Here is a 20402-nt window from a genome sequence, read left to right as displayed (position 1 = left end):
GGAGTTAAGGTTTAGTACATCTCACGTGGCAGATATATATGGAAACAGGAAAATTTTAATGCACCAGCCTTAATTTGTAGCCCAAGTGTCCAATATACAACAAAGGCTTACTAAACAAAGGAAACATTTATGTGTGTGGTTTTCTTACTACTTGGTGAGACCCATCCTACATGAACAATTGCTCTTTCCTTATCTGTGTAGCTTTTGGTCGTATTTTCTCTCATCATTGAAAATACAATATCAGGCCAGGTGTGGTGGCTCACACCTGTAATCTCAGGACTTTGGGAGGCAGAGGCAGAAGGATTGCTTGACCCCAGGAGTTGGAGACCAGCCTGGGCAACATAGTGAAACCCATCAAGTAGCTGGGTGTGGTGGCATGTGTCTGTAGTCCCAGCTACTCAGGAGGCTGAGGTGACAGCATCACTTGAGCCTGGGATATTGAGTCTGCAGTAATTGCGCCACTGCACTTCAGCCTGAGCAACAGAGGAGACCCAGTCTCAAAGAAAAAACAAATAAACAAACAAAAAACAAAAAAGAAAAGAAAATATCAAAAGAAAATATCAAAACATAGTTTAAACAGAGGGAAATGGCCAGTGTTTGTTGCTACCCAGTGGAAAGAGAAGTTGAGTTAATTAGAAAATGTTAGTCATCTTAATTGAGATTGATTTAAGTTGTGATGATCCAAATTCAATTATCCTGTGAAGTGTTTTCATATTAATGGAAGAAAGCTCACTCTGGTGAACTTTGTGTGAATATAGCTTAATGTCAGACTTGCATTTAAAAAATCAAGTATATAAGTGTTCTTTTTGTGAAATAGTAAATTAATGTTTTTGTAAAAGAATTGGTAAATTCTTGCCTATGCATTTGTGAAAGTGAGAATTGTTTATAGTCTAAGGAAGGTTATGTCCTGTTTTGGAATGCCTTAGTTCTGTCATCTTGGGTAGAGAGTTGGTGGTTGCCTCACCCAGACCACTGGGACTGGAGGTCTGGGAGTCATTTGAAGGTGAGGCTCTCACCATGTGGTCTTTGATACTCTCTTCTCCAGCTCTGGGCAGAGGTGACCAGCAACATTCTAGCCCCCGGAATACACGTGGCAAGCCTTAAGCTAGGGAAGGGAAGGGAAGGAAAACGGGGACACTGTAGGGTGAAAGAGAGTAGAAGAGAAAAGAGGGAGAGAAGACTGGAGGGAAGGGAAGAGAGAAAAGAAAGCTTCTCGTGCTGCAGGAAAATAAAGCATGGTAGCAACGGCTGCAAGAGGCCCACTGACGACTTCTCCTGGCTGCTTCCTTCCACCTCAGCATGCAGCCCCTCCAGACTGATGACCAGGGGTCATCTTTTGAGATGTTTTACAAAGCAATTCCGAAAGCTCTGTTAGTCACTTGTACAATTTAACAAGGATGGACACCAGGACACTGTCTTTCCACTTTAAACTCTTTGGCTGTGCCTTGGTTTCAGCCATTTCCTCTCTTTGGAATGCTCTCGCCCATGTCTTCATATAAAGGGAGTTGCACCCTTTAAGCTGCAGCCTGATGATTACTTCCTAGATGAGATTTTCCTGGATCCATTTCCCCACACTGGGTTAGGTGTCCTTCCTCGGTGCTCCCATTACTGCCCACAGCTGATGCCAAAGCCTGGCATTCTGGATTCAGGCTCGCTGGTGCCCTTGGCCGTGAGCCTTTGTGCAGGGCACAACCTGCACAACCGTACAGAGCAGCCTTGTTTTTTGGCACATAGTAGGCACCCAGTTAAATGTTTGTTGAATGAATGATCTTTAGTTTTCCAGAACCATCTCACAATTTAACTCCTCTTGAGTGGTGGCATTCAGAACTGAACAAACCAGTCTGTGAAGGTCAGGGTCCTATTAGGCAGGGTCTGATCAGTACTGGGGCCACCACAAGGTTCTAGAACCACTCTTGTTTGTTCCTCGATGGCAATACCTACCACTCTAAGACCAAGAATGTGCATATGCCCAACCTTCTCCTGCATATAACTTTGCCTTCCCCATCATCTCCATTTGGGCAATTTGTTTTTCCTCCCAGTGTGAAGAAACTCCTCTTTCCTTCTCTCTGGCCCCATCCCGATGTATCAAGACCTCTTTGTCCTCTGGTCATTTCTTCCATGGTGTCGGTGTCAGTGTCATTGCCAGGAACTTCGAGCCAGTCTGTGCCTGTCGGTCTAGGTCACTAATGAATCATTAGGTTCCTAATGAAGTGCTGAGCCCTCCAGGATGCTGTATGTCATGGTTCTGTTTTGGTTGGTTTTGGTTTTTTTGGTTGGTCCTTCCTTGGAGGGCAGTGGGACAACTGCCTGGGGCTGCTGTTACCTGTGCTCCTTCCCAAGTGGGTTGCAGATTATCCCTAGGATGTGTGGGTGCTGTGGCCAGGTGCCCAGGATGGGAGTTCTGACTCTTGGACGCAGCCTCCCTGTGAGCGGCCCTGAACTGGAGCAGGGCTCTTAAGTACACCCGGAGGTCATTTCCTTCCCACCCAAACCACTTGTAAAGTCTGCCTGCCTTTTTTAAAATTTATTTTTTTGGGTCACGCTGGTATTACCCTGGGTTTTAGCCAGCTTGATAAATAGAGGAAGTTGGGTGGCTTCCCAGCCTCCCTGATGTCATGGTTTGGGGCAATCTGCAACTGTGGGAGGTTTCATGAATCCTAGCAAGTGGTGAGTTTGCTGTTCTTCTCTGCGAAATTTCTCTGTTCCGTGCCATGTCTTACATAAGTTGATATGGTTCCTTTTGTGACTTGCCCTTTCCCTTCAATGATGTAAGAACCCCAAACATTGGTAGTCACTATGTTTTGTCACTGAAGCGCTGGTGCTCATCAGATCCTCATTCCTGTTCCGCTTCTCTAGGAGATAAAGGCTGGTGGGTGTGTGGTGGCCACAGGGGCAAGGAGGGATCTGTGGACTGAAGGATGGGCCTTTCTTTAATGAAGTTGAGGCCTTGGTATTCATCAGGCATTTTTGCATCATTGCTTTTGCCATTATTTTCCACAACTTGCTGAAGTGAGTTCCTGCTCCCTGGCTGGGAAGCTGGTTTCTTGGCCCTGAAACCAGAAGTCTTTGTGTTCCCAGTTGGGCCTTTCTAACTGAGGTAGAGCAGGCGAAGGGGAGATGACGTTGAGCTGAGCAAGTGATGGCTTTCCGTCCCATTCCCCACCCACTGAGCTTGATGGAGGAGCTCTGTTCAGCCCTCCTTCTGCTTTTCTTCACTAGAAGAAATCTACTTAATTGTGTAAGTACTATGTAAAGACATGCCTGTGGTCTATGGAGTAGCAATTTGGCTTCATCCTTTCCCTCATCACACTCCTGGGTTACTGGTGGGTTTCCTTCCAGGCTATTTTGTATGCATCCACCCTTGTCACTGTATTAATAAGGATAGGCCATGTGCAGTGGCTCACATATGTAATCTCAGCACTTTGGGTGGTCAAGGCGGGAGGATTGCTTGAGTCCAGGAGTTTGAGACCAGCCTGGGCAACATGGTGAGACCCCATCTCTACAAAAAACTAACAAATTAGCCGAGCATGGTTGCACGTGACTGTAGTCTTAGCTACCCAGGAGACTGAGGTGGGAGGATCACTTGAACCCAGGAGTGGGAGGCTGCAGTGAGCTGTGATCGAGCCACTGCACTTCAGCCTGGGCGACAAGGCAAGACCCCATTTCTAATTAAAAAATAAGCATACACATATAACTTTGATTGCATCTTAACAAGTCCTCGTATATATATTATTCAGAAACTTGGTTTTTTCTCTTGCCTTATATGCATTGACAGTCTCTGTATGTTAATACACCTAAATGAACTTCACTTTTAAGTGTTGCATAATATTCCAAAACACAGATGTGCCATTGTTTAACTCTTCATCTACTAATGGAAACTTAGGCTCCCCCCACCACACACACAGCTGCAATGACAGTATTTGTGTGTATATTTTTGTATCTATGGGTCAGTATTTCTGTGGGGACAATCTCTGGAATTCAAATTTCTGTATCAAAAAGCATGCACATTTAAAATTTTAAAACATAGCTAAATTACTCTCTCAAAGTTTATGTTTCCACCAATGGTGTATGCAGGTGTTTATTTCCCCACATGCTCTCCAGCTTTGGATATTACTAGGCTTTTCAATTTTTTCATCCACTGGGAAAAACAAATGTCATGTTGCTTGCCCTACTTTTCTACCTGTAAGTATTCCAAGGGAGCGAACAGAGCCTCCTGTTGTTCATTAATAAACTGGATTCCCAAGAACCATTAAGTGTGCTTTATTATGGTCATCAGTAAGGTTTTGGAAGAGGTAGTGTGCTTGGGTTGGGAAATTTCATCAAAATATCAGAAATCCCTATGTGGAAAATTCTCATTTTCACAAATGTTAAATGAACTTCTTTCGATACTCAAGTCACAATAGATTTCTTTCTTTCTTTGATTATTGAAATGTTTTTCAGTTGTTAATCCTACATTTAGTCCACATTCAGCATTGGGACATGTGTTCGCAATTGTTCATCGTAGGACAGGACAACATGGTTGGCCTTCATTTTTGTCTTTTATTTCAAGTTCTGGGGTACATGTGCAGGATGTGCAGGTTTGTTACACAGGTAAATGTGTGCCATGGTGATTTGCTATACCTATCAACCCATCACCTAGGTATTAAGCCCAGCATGCATTAGCTATTCTTCCTGATTCTCTACCCACCCCCTCCCCGACAGGCCCCAGTGTATGTTGTTCCCCTCCATGTGTCTGTGTGTTCACATGGACACACTTATAAGTGTGTCACCTTCCACTTATAAGTGAGAATATGTGGTGTTTGGTTTTCTGTTCCTGCATTAGTTTGCTGAAGATAATGGCTTCCAGCTCCATCCATGTCCCTGCAAAGGACATGATCTCATTCCTTTTTATGGCTGCATAGTCTTCCATGGTGTATATGTGCCACATTTTCTTTATCCAGTCTATCATTGATGGGCATTTAGGTTGATTCCATGTCTTTGCTATTGTGAATAGTGCTGCAATGAACATATGTGTGCATGTATCTTTATAATAAAATGATTTCTATTCCTTTGGGTATATACCCAGTAATGGGATTGCTGGGCACTGAACTGCTATTATAACAGTCTGTCAGTAGGTCAGTTGGTTCCAGGATGACCTTAGAGATCGTTTCTTATCACAGATCTTCATTTGAAAGTCATTATGTCCTATTTCACATGAGAAGATGCCATTACGTGAAGTGACTGTCATCTTCAAGCTAATAGCTGGACCAATGTTTTGGTTCAGAAGTAAGGCATGTTGGAATATTCTAAAAGATACAAGTCAGGTCGTCAGCAATGCTCTCTGCCTTGGGTGGATACCCCATTCTTTCCCCAGCGTGCATCTGAGTTTTCCCTCATATCATTGCAAATACCCCCATGTTCCCCTTTCAACTCTGAGCCAAACTTAGTAATTAACCAAGAGTTAGCCCTTTAGTGGAGAAACAATTCTGCCTCTGGCACAAGAGACCTAAATGCCCCAATCCTTGATATCAAGGAGTTTAGGTTCTAGGGAAGTGAAGTCACAAACACATGAAGAAATGTCTAACCAAGCAGGGTCTCTAGAAGGGACCACCCCACCCCAGGTCTGGTCCAATCACTTCGTTGTCCAGTGCCCTATGATGTTGTTAATGAAGTCTTCAACTGAACAGTAATTCATGCCACAAAAACATTAACAAGGCTGGGTGTGGTGGCTCACACCTATAATCCCAGCACTTTGGGAGGCTGAGGTGGGCAGATCACCTGAAGTCAGGAGTTTGAGACCAGCCTGGCCAACATGGTGAAACCCTGTCTCTACTGAAAATACAAAAAAAAAAAAAAAAAAAAATTAGCCGGGTGTGGTAGCGTGTGCCTGTAATACCAGCTGCTCAGGAGGCTGAGGCCAGAGAATTGCTTGAACCTGGGAGGTAGAGGCTGCAGTGAGCCGAGATCATGCCACTGCACTCCAGCCTGGGTGACAGAGTGAGACTCCGTCTCAAAACAAAACAAAACAAAACAAAACACATTAACAAGATCAGTCCCCAAACTGGCTTTGGGCTTGTGCTTCCAGTTTATATATAAGTTCCTCAGCAGCAGGGTTTACATCCATTTTTTCTGTAACTCCACTGCCAAGTTCAAGCTGTGACGTGCAGTAGGGAGCCCAGGGGGCGTCGGCTGATGAGCTCACTGCAGTATTGAAGTATTATGCTGTCAAGAAAGTCCACTTTCCATTGGTCTAATTTTGCTTTTTATTTTTTATTTTTCATTTTCAGGTGTGCACAGAGGTTCTCCACTTTGTTTTCTGAACTCGCGGTCAGGTGAGTAATGCTATTTCTATGAGATAATGTTGTAGAAATGAGGAACATGTTAGCTTGGGTTTTTTTTTCTTTCCTATTTTCCCTCCTTCATTGCAAATTCCCATCCCCATACCAACTTTATTCTTTTTTGTTTGTTTTGTTTTGTTTTTAACTCCTCACTCCCACTTGGAGCTCTCTTTTCTTCAGATACTTTCTTTTCCTTGGGGATTCTATTGTTGACCTGTTTCTTCTTGCTAACCCAATTGCTTTTGAATGGGCGTTCAGAAATGGGTACCGATTTTGAAGTTACATGGTGCGGTCAAAGCTGGGGAAAGAGAATGATCATTTACGTGGAATTATTTGGGATTCTGTTTCACTGTTTTCCCCTTTCCTGCTCCCTGGACGTGTGTCCCTTGGCTCTAACAGCTTTTGTCATGTTTTGTAATGGACCAAGGAAGTGTTTGTTCTCTCTCTGACCTAAGTGCTGTGCAAATGCAGCTGTCAAAGGATCCTTCCAACCAGATTTCTGCCCATGACCCTCTTCTAGATAGAAATTCTGAAGCCGCTACTTTCACGCTTCCTATTTCTTTCTTTTTTCTTTTCTTTTCTTTCTTTCTTTCTTTTCTTTTTTTTTTTTTTTTTTTTTTTTTGAGACAGGGTCTCCCTCTGTCACCCAGGTAGGAGCGCAGTGGCGCAGTCACAGCTCACTGCAGTTTTGACCTCCCAGGCTCAAGTGATCCTCCCACCTCAGCCTCCTGAGTAACTGGGACCACAGGTGCATGCAACCATGCCTGGCTAATTTTTTATTTTTTGTAGAGACGGGATCTCCCTATGCTGCCAGACGGGTCTCAAACTCCTGGCCTCAATCCATCCTCCTGCTTCAGCCTCCCAAAGTGCTGGGATTACAGGCCTGAGCCACTGTACCCAGCCTATTTCTTTTGAGACTCATAAATAGTGGTATTTCTGGGAATTCATTGACATAAATTATCAAAATTTTGTAAACAATGTAAATGTCTATCATAATGAATACAAATTAGAATGATCCCATTATAACTTACATGATAAATAACACATTGTTATTATAATAGATACTAGTAAGTTATTGCTATAAATAAGGTTATAACAGCTGAGCAGGGTCACACAGCCAGTAAATGGCCCAGCTGGGACCTGAAGCAGGAATTGGCATGGTGTGATGACAAAACCAAGGAAGGGCACAGAATCCTGGCGAGGGGTGGGCCCTGGTGGGTGAGGCGGGGTTGGTTTCCTGAGTCCCTCACTTCCTCTCCAGCATGGTTTCCTAGATGACCGCCAACCATGTGCTTTTGCCCTATCCCTGCCCCAGCCCTGCAGTGCAGATCAATGCCCCAGGAGGCTTTTAAGAAGAGCCTCTTATTTCTCTCCTCTACATATTGATAGAATTATTTTGCAGCAGTAGATTCTGGACCAAATCAATGAAAAAATCTTTGTCGAGTGCCTGCTGTGGGTGTGGGGGTGAGGTGGAGATCAAGCCTATATAGGAGAGGCTATTGTGTTCTGCTTCCTTGTTTTTGTTTTTAGGCAAAGTCGAGTCTGATGGACCATGAAGAGAAAGTATCTTTTGTTTGTTGTTTTAAAAAAAATCACTATTGATTTGGCCATGCCAATGACCAATGAATCTGAGTAGTGGCTATTAAGCTATCGAGGGCAGGAAAGATATCTGCCTTGTTTTTTGTGGTATCTCAAGTCCCTGGCATAGAATCTTGCTTGTAATAGAACTTCAATAAACATTCGTCAACTAGATGAATGAATGTCAATTATTTTGGAAATAATTCCAAAATCTGTTTACAGTTTGTACTGGAGTGTATTATAAACTTATCTTCTTTAGCTGAGTATGGTGGCGTGTGCCTATAGTCCCAGCTACTCAGGAGCCTGAGGCAGGAGGATCGCTTGAGCCTGGGAGGTGGAGGTTGCAGCAAGCCGAGATTGTACCACTGCACTCCAGCCTGGGTGACAGAGCAAGACCCTGTCACAAAAAAACAAGCAAACAACAGCAACAACCAAAAAACAATAAAAGAAACCCAAAAACTTGTCTTCTAATTATGCTTGTAATCATAGCTAACACTTCTTGACTACACTAAGACTTTCATTACATTACCTCATTTAATCCCCACAGAACCCTGTGAAATAGGTCTTAGCATTACTTCCACGTCTTCAGATGAAGAATTTAAACTCCAGAGAGGTTAAGGAACAGCCCAAGTTTACACTATAAGTGGTGGAGCTTAGATGTGAAGGCAGACAGATGGCTCTACCATGCATGCTCCCGAATCCTATGCTATTCTGCTCATTATTGTGTGTTAAACATACTGCAAGCATTGGGGGCAGACCCTGAAGAATGAGGGGAGAGAGATGAAGTAGGCTTTCACCTTGCGTTGGATAATTCACACATGGCTAATCAAGAGTATGGTAGATCGCAGGTATGAGAGAGTGGAGAAATCTGGAGATGAGCAAGGGAGCCAAAAAACAGAACACCCCTCAGCCGGGCGCGGTGGCTCACGTCTAGAATCCCAGCACTTTGGGAGGCCGAGGCGGGTGGGTCATCTGAGGTCAGGAGTTCGAGACCAGCCTGGCCAACTGGGTGAAACCCTGTCTCTACTAAAAATACAAAAATTAGCCAGGTGTGGTGGCAGGCGCCTGTAATCCCAGCTACTCAGGAGGCTGAGGCAGAAGAATTGCTTGAACCGGGAGGTGGAGGTTGCGGTGAGCCGAGATCACGCCATTGCATTCCAGCCTGGGTGACAAGAGCAAAACTCCGTCTCAAAAAAAAAAAAACAAAAACCAAACCAGACAAAAAGCAGAACACCCCTCACCAGGTTTGGTGAGTGTATGTTTACATTAAGCGCACAATTTAGTTCTAATCTTGCACGTCTGATATTGATTCACTTGTTTTATTGAATAAAGCTTCCTTTTTCTGCATCAGAAAGCACTTACCGCTTATTAAGAAAATCATTTTTGCACTGTAAAGACCAAATCATTTCCTTCCATTTGATTCTAGAGATGTGTAAGTTTCACACTGCAATGATGCCATATGGCTCAGCATTGGCTTTACTTTGTGCTCTGACAAACAACATACAAGGCTGCTGTTTTAGAGTTCCTATTCAGCACTTACCAGTTAACCTAGTTTCTGTCATCTTTAGGACATGGTTGTTTTTGGCATATGGGATGTTGTTTCTCTTACTACGGTAATACTGGCTTTAGTTCTTGGTGACCTTATCTTCAAAAAATTTTGTTGCTGAAGTTCAGAATAGTTCCTTTTGTCCAATATTTATTCAAACTACCTCAATTTACAAGATTTGAAATTGCTTCTAGACATTTCTGTGAGCATTTTGGAGAAATCTGAAAACAGTCTCATTTGATTTATATAATGGGCAAAAATCTAAGGACTTTCCTTGTCTGGTTTTGGCATCGGGGTTATGATAGCCTTGTAAAAGTGAGTTCAGATGTGCTCTTTTTCTTGAGTTTCTGTGCGATTGAAACTCTTATTCCTTAAATATTTGATAGAATCATCAGTGAAGCCATCTGGGCCTGGAGTTTTCTTTGTGGGACAAGTTTTGAGACTTTTAATGGTTATACCTACTATTCATGTTTACCATTTCCACTTGATTCCTTCTTGGTAATTGGTATTTTTTTCTAGAAATTTGTCCCTTTCTATCTAGAGTTTCAAAATTATTGAAGACAGTTTTTGCTAAGAGCCTTTTATATTTATTATGTTTATAGCATTTACAGGTGTGTTGCTTTTTCCGTACCTCTTATTAGCTACTTCCTCACTCCCTGCCTCTCTCTTTTTCTCCCCTTTTTCCCTCCCCTCCCTCTGTCTCTTGATTTTGCCAGAATTGTCTTTTCAAAGAGCAACGTTGGCTTTGTTAATCTTTATGTCTTTTTTCTGTTTTTATTATATGCTTTTTTTTTTATTACCTTCCTTCTTCTTCTTTGGGTTTATTTTGCTGTACTTTTTCACACTTCTTAAGAACCTTAATTCATTAATTTTAAGCCTTTCTCTTTTTCTAATTTGTATGTTTAAAATATAATTTTCACTCTATCTTTAGCTGTATCCTATGTGTTTTATATACAGTGTTTTTCTTATTGATCAAGTCGAATATTTTCTTTTTTCTTTTATCTTTTTTGTTTTTGAGACAAGGTCTTGCTCTGTTGCCCAGGCTGCAGTGCATTGGCGTGATCATGGTTCACTACAGCCTCTACCTCCTTGCCTCAAGCGATCCTCTTGCCTCAGACTCCCATGCAGCTGGGACCATAGGCGCATACCACCATGCCCGGCTAATTTTTTTATTTTTTTGTAGAGATGGAGGGGGGGTCCCACTTTGTTGCCCAGGCTGGGCTCGAACTCCTGGGCTCAGGTAACCCTTCTGCCTTGGCCTCCCAAAGTGCTGGGATTACAGGTGTGAGCCACCACGCCTGGCGAATATTTTCTAATAAACATTGTGACTTCTTTGACCCATGGGTTATTTGTTAAATAACACATCTAACTTTTTGTTATTACACCTTAATTGTGTTGTGGTCAAAGAACATGCTGCTTTTCTGTTTTCCAATTGTTTAAAAAGCTTTTGAGACTTTTCTGTTGGTCTGGATGGTTTTCACAGACATTCCATGTGCTCTTGAAAAGATTATGCGCGCTGCAGTTGTTGAATGGGGGCTTCTAGATATGGTCCTCATGTTGTTGGTTAAATGTGTGATTCAAATATTCTATATCCTTAATGACTTTCTTATTTAATTTTTACCAATTGCTGATAGAGATCTCTCATTATGATTGTGGATTTGTTCTATTTCTCCTTATATTCTGTCAATGCTGTTTGGTGTATTTTGAGGCTATAGTAGTTGCATTCACATGTAAATTTCTTCAGTCTTCAATTCAGAATTGAATCTTTTATGAATGAACGGTTTTATTTCTAGGTAAAGTATTTTGCTTTAAAGTATAATTTGTCTGATATTAGTATAAACACATTAATTTTCTTTTGATTAGTGTGGGCATAGCATATCTTTTCCATCTCTTTACTTTCAAACTTTCTGAATCATTAGGTTCTATTTGTGTCCTTGTAAATAGCATATAATTGGAGTTTGTATTTTTTTCAGTCTGATAATCTTTGCCTTTTAATGGAATCATTGAGTCCATTTATATTTCATGAATCATTGATCTGCTTTTTTTTTTTTTTTTTTGAAATAGAGTTTCACTCTTGTTGCCCAGGCTGGAGTGTAGTGGCGCAATCTCGGCTCACTGCAACCTCTGCCTCCTGGGTTCTAGCGATTCTCCTGCCTCAGCCTCCCAAGTAGCCTGGGATTACAGGCACCTGACACCATACCTGGCTAATTTTTTTTTTTTTTTTTTTTTTTTTTTTTAGTAGAGACAGAGTTTCATCATGTTGATCAGGCTGGTCTCAAATTCCTGACCTCAGGTGATCCACCCGCTTCGGCCTCCCGAAGTGTTGGGATTACAGGCGTGAGCCACTGCACCGGCCTGCATTTGTTTTTAAATCTTTATTACTTTCTATTTTTCCTAACCATTCTTTGTTGCTGTTTCTCCTCTTTCTTGCCTTTTTTCAGACTGACTGAATATGTTAGAAACTGTTTTCCTCCTCCACTAGTTAGGAAGTTATATGTCCCATTTCTGTTGTTTAGTTACTAAAGATATTACAACCTGTTGTAGAAATTACAACATGTCTACTCAACTTTTCAATGTGTAAAGATAATCAATACCTTTAGCTTCCTCTAGTATAATCCAAGGACCTTGAAAGACTTTAATTTTTGAATTTCATTTTGTCATCTCCTTACTTATATTACATATAATGCATATATTGTCTCCTATGTTTATATATATGAGGTAGTTGCCATATGTTTTTATTTTATCATGTTTCACTAATCCCTACAAGATGTTATTGTTTTATATAGTAGTTTTGTTTTGTTTCAAGACACAGTCTCCTTCTATCACCCAGGCTGGAGTCCAGTGGCACGATCTTGGCTCACTGCAACCTCCACCTCCCGGGTTCAAGCAATTCTCCTGCCTCAGCCTCCCAAGAAGCTAGGGTTACAGGTGCCAGCCACCACATCTGGCTAATTTTTGTATTTTTAGTAAAGATGGGGTTTCACCATGTTGGCCAGGCTGGTCTTGAACTCCTGACCTCAAGTGATCTGCCCATCTCGGCCTCCCAAAGTGCTGGGATTACAGGCGTGAGCCACCATGACTGGCACTGTTTTATATAGTAAAAGTTCATTTGGATTTGCCAGTAGAGAGTACTACCCCTAGTTCTGGGCACCTGGGGCCTCTGGCCTGTGACTTGTGATTTAGAGTCCCCTCTCTGGCCCTTCTCTAGCTCCACCCTTCTCCAAATGGCAAGAAGTCTGTGGCACCAAGAAGTCATGCCTACCCGGAGCTACCTCCCTCTTCCCCTCACCCTTGCTTCTAGATCGTACTCTGGGAATCCGGGACCCTGGAATTCCCAATCCAAACATTCTGTGCCAATTTCCAGGACCTGGGCACTCCCCTTCCTCATTGCAAGCCATGCTGCAGGTGTACGTACCCCCAGACCCAAGGGATGACCAAGGGGTACATGCATGCAGGAGAGGGGGTTAGGGGTATGCAGGCTGTGGTGATCACATGAGTGTGCACAAAGCCTCTTACAGCTTGGAATGAAGCCTTAGGGGAAGAATAAGGGCAAAGCCTTCTTTTAAACTCTTGATCTGTATCTTAGAAATGTTAGCCATGGGCCTGGCCACAAACCCACCACTTTCTTTGTTCCTCATTCCTCCTTTCATCTCAGTTCTTATGTCTTTTGCCTAAATACATGTTTTAGGATTGATTTCAGTAATGATTTGCAGGTAGGGAACAACATCACAGTTTCTGTTTGTCTGAAAATATCTTCATCTTGCCCTCATTCTTCAAAGATATTTTCCCTGAGAGCAGAATTCTAAGTTGGCAGTTTGTTTCTGGCACACTGCAGATAGACTTCCACTGGTTCTGGCTTCCATTGTTGCTTCTGAGAAGATAGCTGTCAGTCTAACAGCAGCTTCTTAACAGCCTTTTTCTTTCTTTCTTTCTTTTTTTTTTTTTTTTTTTTTTGAGGCGAAGTCTTGCTCTGTTGCCCAGGCTGGAGTGCAGTAGTGTGATCTCAGCTCACTGCAACCTCTGCCTCCCAGGTTCAAGCGATTCTCCTGCCTCAGCCTCCAGAGTTGCTGGGATTACAGGTGGGCGCCACCACACCTGGCTAATCTATATATTTTTGGTAGAGACGGGGGTTCCGCCTCGTTAGGCAGGCTGACCTCGAACTCCTGGCCTCAAGTGATCCATCCGCCTCGGCCTCCCAAAGTGCTGGGATTACAGGCATGAGCCACTGCATGCCCAGCCTAACAGCTGCTCCTTTGAAGGTTATCTGTCTTGTATTTCTGACAATTTTTCAGATGTTCCTGTTTTTGTTTTTGTTTTTTTTTTTCATTTTCACTATGATGTATCTAGGTGTAGATCTCTTTTTATTTCTTTTGATTGAGATTCTTTGGGCTCCTTAAATCTGAGGATTGGTGTTTTTCACCCATTTGGAGACACTTAGTCATTATCATTCCAAACACTGATTCTCTCTTTGAATTTTGTTTAAATGTATGTTAGACATTGTATTTCTTTTCTCCATGTCTCTGAACTTTTCTTTCATATGTCATATTTGAAACTCAGGTTTGCCTCATTAGGCCCATACCCACAGGTATAAGTGGGCTTCATTGCTTACATTACTTACCTGGGTTCCTGCTTGAGTTTCACCTTTGGCCTGGCAATTCCTTTCTATCTGGCCAGCTCTTTGATATGTTTAAGAAAATGCGCAGCTGGGCATGGTGGCTCACGCCTATAATCCCAGCACTTTGGGAGGCCGAGCCGGGTGGATCAACTGAGGTCAGGAGTTCGAGACTAGCCTGGCCAACATGGTGAAACCCCATCTCTACTAAAAATAGAAAAAATTAGCCGGGTGTGGTGGCAGGCGCCTGTAATCCTAGCTACTCAGGAGGCTGAGACAGGAGAATCGCTTGAACCTGGGAGGCGGAGGTTGCAGTGAGCCGAGATCATGCCACTGCTCTCCAGCTTGGGAGACAGAGCGAGACTCCGCCTCAAACAAACAAAAAAAAAAAAAAAAAGAAGAAGAAGAAGAAGAAAGAAAATGCGCTGGGTGCGGTGGCTCACTCCTGTAATCCCAGCACTTTGGGAGGCTGAGGCCCAGGAGTTTGAGACCAGGAGTTCAATACCAGCCTAGGCAACATGGTAAAACTTCATCTCTACAAAAAATAAAAAAATTAGCCAGGCATGGTGGTACATGCCTGTAGTCTCAGCTACTCAGGAGGCTGAGGCAGGAGGATCAATTGAGCCCACGAGGTTGAGGCTGCAGTGAACCGTGGTCATGCCACTGCACTCCAGCCTGGGTGACAGAATGAGACCCTGTCTCAAAAAATAAATAATTAATAATAATAAGAAAATGCTTTTAGCATTTTATTCATGATTTTTAATTGTCTTCAGCCCAAGGTTTGATCTAACTAACCTAACCCAACATATTCCCGGAACACTGAAGACATTTTTTTTTTCCCTGAGATATTTCCTGTATCGAAGTCATTGAGCAGTGTTCAAATAGAAATTTAATTATGCTTTTCTTACCAGTTTCCTGATTCTTTTTCTGACTTCTTTGAGAATTGAACAATCCAAATCAACTGCTTTTTCACTTTTTGTTCTCACTTTATCCACACTGAGAACCCCTGCAGTCCTTCTCTTTTTACATTTCCCCTTGTGGTGGTCTTGTAAGCCAACATATATGACTCCGTATAAATGTCTCAAAAGCATAGAGTTTTCTAGAAGACTTAGGGAACAATTATCATACCTCTTATAACTCAGGTCAGAAATATTGATCATTGTCTATATCATAGTGGCTATGGTATAATCAAAGTATGCCAGTTAACCAGAGATAACAGAGAATAACCCTCACACAGACCTGCCCTATGGTGGTATCAAGCTATTTCTCCCTTTCTAATATTATTCTTTGATTATTCTATATCTAAAGACAGATTTATCATTTATTGGCATAACAGGTTGCACTGATGATATATATTTCAAAAATATGATACTGATACTATTTAATGAAATTGAAGAGCTCTAGAACGAGTTTTTAGAGTGGAAGCACCACGGCATATAGTCATGTAGTTCGTGCACTGTACAACTCTAGAGGGAGGTTGCCATTTACATCAGAGTTCACAACCTAAAAGGGGGCCCTGGATAAAGATGAATTGGGGATCATCTTTAATCTAGTGTCAAGGTCTACGTTTCACTGTTTAAATGCTACCAAATAGTTTTCTCTGTAATTGTTGCTATCTTCCTAGCCATCCTTAGCACCTTAAAAATTTACTAAGAACCAGTGGCTGTTCAGATCCTCTTTGTTGATGACCTGGATAGCATTGAGCTAACCCAGATTGCACCAGAAGATGAATAGATGTTTGTGTTAGGCTGTTCTTGCATTGCTGTAAAGAAATCCCTGAGACTGGGTCATTTATAAGAAAAGGGGTTTAATTAGCTCCTGGTTCTGCACGCTGTGCAAGAAGCATAGTGGCATTTGCTTCTGGGGCTCACTTATCACCAAGGGGATGGCCCAAGCTATTCATGAAGGATCCTCCATGATCCAACACCTCCCACCAGCTCACACCTCCAACATTCAACATGAGATTTGGATGGGGACACGTATCCAAACTATATCAATGTTCCAGCTGAAAAAGAGAAAAATGGCTTTGATGTGCAATGACTAAAGGTTTCAAACTTCACAGATTGCCCTTTGATTAGTGATCCTAGAGACTTTATGACCTAATAGGACATTCTCGGTTTATGCAGAAGGCAGTAGGAGCTACATTATTTCAAATACCATAAAACTTCTCCAAAAACATATGTTCAGCCTTGAGGAAACGTATTCCAGATCTGACAACTGAAAGCAGTCTGCATTAAGTTCTTGATCTATATATTTTTTTCAAGATGATTGCTGGGGTCATCTTTCATTCTGGCCTTTCCTACCTGCATTTGGAAGTTGAGTAGATCCTGCCTGTAGTGAAAAGGCATAGTTTATTTTGATCAGAGGTCTCAGTTACAGCACATAGTAGTCACTCACTGTGTATGTACACTGAGTCACTGAGTACACGAATTTGCCTTTGATCATATCTTGTACACCACTTAGGTCCTGCCCTACGAGTTAGCAAAGCTCAAGAATGAGTCTTTAGACATTCTTAAATTGTATAATAACATTTTGAACTTGATGTCTTTCACCTGATGGACTCAAAACATTTTACTTACAAGGAGACAAAGTCTCAGGAGGCTGGCATTGTGTTCTGGTAGAAAGAGTAAGGGTTCTGCCAAATAGCTGAATGACCTTGACCCATCCCCTAGACTTGCAGGGGTGTCCAATCTTTTGGCTTCTCTGGGCCACATTGGTAGAAGAATTGTCATGGGCCGCACATAAAATACACTAACACTATTGATAGCTGATGAGTTAAAAAAAAAAAATTGCAAAAAAACTCATAATGTTTTAAGGAAGTTTACGAATTTGTATTGGGCCACATTCAAAACCATCCTGGGCCACATGTGACCCGGGGGCCAGGGTTGGACAAGCTTGCAATGATGGGACCTCTTTCATCTGTAGAACGAGGGTTCGAGGATAGGTGATTTCTGAGTTCCTTTCCAGAAATAAACCACTCTGATACTCTCTCCCCAGGCTACACTTAAATACTTGTGAATTAAATCTAAGTCAACTCCACCAGTTTCAGGTACAGTCAAGCCTATTTGTAGAGGAGAGCATTTTCTGTGGCACTGAAGTTCACTCAATAATGCCTTCATTTTTTTTTTTTAAAGCAGTGCTTTTGGAGGGGGGACAGAGTTCAAAAACTTTAAAAAATGTTAATTTTTAAACTTTTTATTGAAACTTATGGCATACATATATGTGTACAACTCAGTGAATTTCGTGAACTGAACACACCCATGTAATTGGCACACAGAATATTCTCGGTACCTCAGAAGCCTCCCTTGTGCCCACATCCAATATTGTTATAACTCCCTCCCTTTCAAGGATAACCCTTCTCCTGACTTCTCACCACATCAATTAGTTTTTTCTGCTTCGGTTTCTCATGAATGGAATTATGTACAATAAGCACTCTTTTGTCTCTGGTTTCCTTGGCAAACATTATATTTCTGAGCTGCACTGAGATTGTTTTGTGTAGCTGTAGCAGACACTTAGATCTTTCCTCCAGAGAGACATCGATACATCTTTGCACAACTGTGTTAACATCCTCATTTGAGTGACTCCTTTGGGAAGATCAATAACATGCCATTATGCCCAGAGAGAGGTTAAAAGAGGAGGGAGAAATTAGAGGCTTTTTATAATTGATTAACATATTCTAGCATTAATACATAATACAATTTATTAATTTAAGATATGCAAGCCCTCTTCTGAAGGAGAAAGATTCACCTCCTGGTCTAAAACATCATCATGTCAGGTCAAGGAAAGAATCACTCTCCTAGTGCTGGTTATGAGTATTCAATTACAGAATTCTTAAAGATTGCCAGCTTTACCTTGAGACAGAAACTCTGACTTATAAAACCCCTTTCTTTCCATGCCCTCCACCCCTTAATCCCAGCACTGCCTGATCCTGCACATACTAGGTGCAAAATAGATATTTGTTGAATGAATGAATGAATGAATGAATGAATGAAGAGCACAGCTAACATTTACAGTGCATTCACAGTGCCAGCCACTGTGCAAAGATTTCTTGTTTACTCACCGCAACAGCACTATCAGGTGGGTGCTGTTGTCTCAGTTTGCTAGATGGGGAAACATGACCATTGGAAATAACTTGTCCACAGTCACTCAGATATTATGGGGCCAAGTTGGGACCTTTGAACTCATGCTCTTTAGTCTTCACCACTGTGTATTCACACTCACTCTAGGGCTTGCAGAAGCTGCAAGTGGTGGCTGGATTCATGAGTGCCCTTGGCCGAGAGCTCTGCTAGCTGAGGACACACAGCCTGGTTTGTCCCAGCCACTTCCCTCTGGCTGTGTAGAGGGAGCCTGCCCAGTTGGCTCTCGCCACCCCCTTGCTTGTGCCTGTGCCCATGAGTGATTCCTTTCTCAGCACCCCACGCCAGCCTCTGCTCCTAGTGCTGACTGCCCATCTTGGGGTAATGTTGGCCAACTCCCAGACATGAGAGGATCAGACACAGTCTTAGCATTTGCAATTCTTTCTGTGTGCTGAACTCTCCCCTAGCCCCTGCCCCACCTCCAGCACGTGCATTTCATCTAGTTCACTCCTATTCAGCCCTCACATCTCATCTGGTACATATTGGCCCTCAATAAATATTTGTTGAATGAATAAATGAATGAATGGTAAATGAGGCTTTTAAATTCAATTCTGATATAAACTACTGAAATGCAAGCAATGATGATAAAATAATATGCAACAAAAAGGAAATGCAATGTACTGATGAAACTGGATAGTTCCCTTGACCCCTCTGTGGGATTCATGAAGGAGTGGCTCGCTTACTCAGCCCACAGCTCTCAACCCCTCGTGGGAGGGGGAGCACGCAGGTGAGTGGGTACAGAGGCCAGGTTGAGTGCTTCTGGGCAACCAGCAGGAGCAGGACTCTGTGCAGGCCCACAGCAGCGTCTACAGGTTGCCCGCGACCCCCGAGCCCCAGAGGGCATGTGTTACCGCGCATTCTTTTAGCATTGCCATCCTTGGACAGTGTAAGTGTTAAACAGTTCAGTGGAGGGTCAGTGTGACAGCCTCTTGCACCTGCACCAAGGTCTTTGTCTGGCATCCAGGAGTAATGAAGTTGTAAGAACAAATTGGAGGGTGGTGAATGCAGAGGATTTTATTGCTGATGAAAGTGGCTCTCAGTGGGATGGGTGGCTGGAAAGGGGATGGAGTGGGAAGGTGGTCTTCCCCTGGAGTTCGGCCATCTGCGGCTGAACTCCTCCGAAGTCGCACTGTCAAGCCATCCCTCTGAAGTCAAGCTGCTCCTCTCCAAGGTCCGGCTACTTCTCTTCTCTCCTCTGCCACTCTGCCAGTGGGGCCTGGGATTTTTATGGGTACAGGATTTGGGGGCAGGGCAGGCCAGGGTGGTTTTGGAAAAGGCAACATTCGGGCAGGGAAATGAGAATGCATGTTCTCACTTTTGGCTGCGGGTCCAGGCTTGAGGGTGTGGCCCTTGTCTAGGGCCACACTCTTCTACCCAATATTTCCCTGCCTCCTGTCCATATCACTTATCCTTTTACAGTATAAAACATACAAGAGCGAAACTCCGTCTCAAAAAAAACAAAAAACAAACAAAAAAAACATGAATAGGAGCTGGGCACAGTGGTGCTGCCTGAGGCAGGAGGATTGCTTGAAGCCACAGTATACTATGATCGCACCTGTGAACAGCCATTGCACTCCAGCCTGGGCTACATAGCGAGACCCTATCTCTTTAAAAAAAAATTTTTTTAAGGAAAAATGACATAGAGAAGGATAATTATTGAAAAGATTCTGTGTAATGGTAATAATGATGTAACATTTTGTGTTTTTTATTCCTTCTCTTGTTATTTTGCATGTGTTGATGTTTTCCATAAATCCACATGGACTACCTTGCTTCTAAGTATAACATCCTACTGGGCAACCCTCCCATAATAAACATGGGTTTTGCTTGTTGTCACCAGTGCCCAACTGGCGTTTCTGATTCTCTGGAACCATAGCAATTTGAAGTGCACAGGATCACAGGTTGCCTTGGTTGAGGAATGACCTTTGAGGTATTGCTGTGTTGTGATTATGGCAGCTGTGATGATCTGTCTTCTCCTTACTTTATTCCAGGATGGTTTTCTCTGTCAGGCAGTGTGGCCATGTTGGCAGAACTGAAGAAGTTTTACTGACGTTCAAGATATTCCTTGTCATCATTTGTCTTCATGTCGTTCTGGTAACATCCCTGGAAGGTAATGTGTCTGTTTTTCTTCATTTTTTTTTTTTCTGTTTATCTGCATGTGTGTATTTTTTTGTTATTTAGGATTTTTTTACTGTGGTAAAATAACATAATATTTA

The 20402-nt window shown here is 42.6% G+C and overlaps 1 protein-coding gene across 16 annotated transcripts in view; it reads left to right on the top strand.

The window, feature by feature from the left end:
• The window catches only part of ADGRG2 (adhesion G protein-coupled receptor G2), a 133650-nt gene that overhangs the window by 33944 nt on the left and 79304 nt on the right, over positions 1–20402 (top strand). For 15 of the 16 annotated variants that reach the window (XM_006724455.3, XM_047441758.1, NM_001184835.2 and 12 more), the window contains exons 2-3: positions 6267–6311; positions 20178–20296. In XM_006724455.3, the coding sequence (XP_006724518.1) occupies positions 20179–20296 (118 nt within the window). In that variant the 5' untranslated portion in view covers positions 6267–6311; position 20178. Of the gene's footprint in view, positions 1–6020; positions 6312–20177; positions 20297–20402 lie in introns of those variants that run through there. The other variant, XM_047441755.1, reaches the window with a different exon arrangement.

The sequence above is a fragment of the Homo sapiens genome, chromosome X (assembly GCF_000001405.40).
Source record: "Homo sapiens chromosome X, GRCh38.p14 Primary Assembly".
Lineage (NCBI taxonomy): Eukaryota > Metazoa > Chordata > Mammalia > Primates > Hominidae > Homo > Homo sapiens.
Note: the sequence above shows the minus strand (reverse complement) of the source record. Positions and strands in the feature narration are given on the sequence as shown.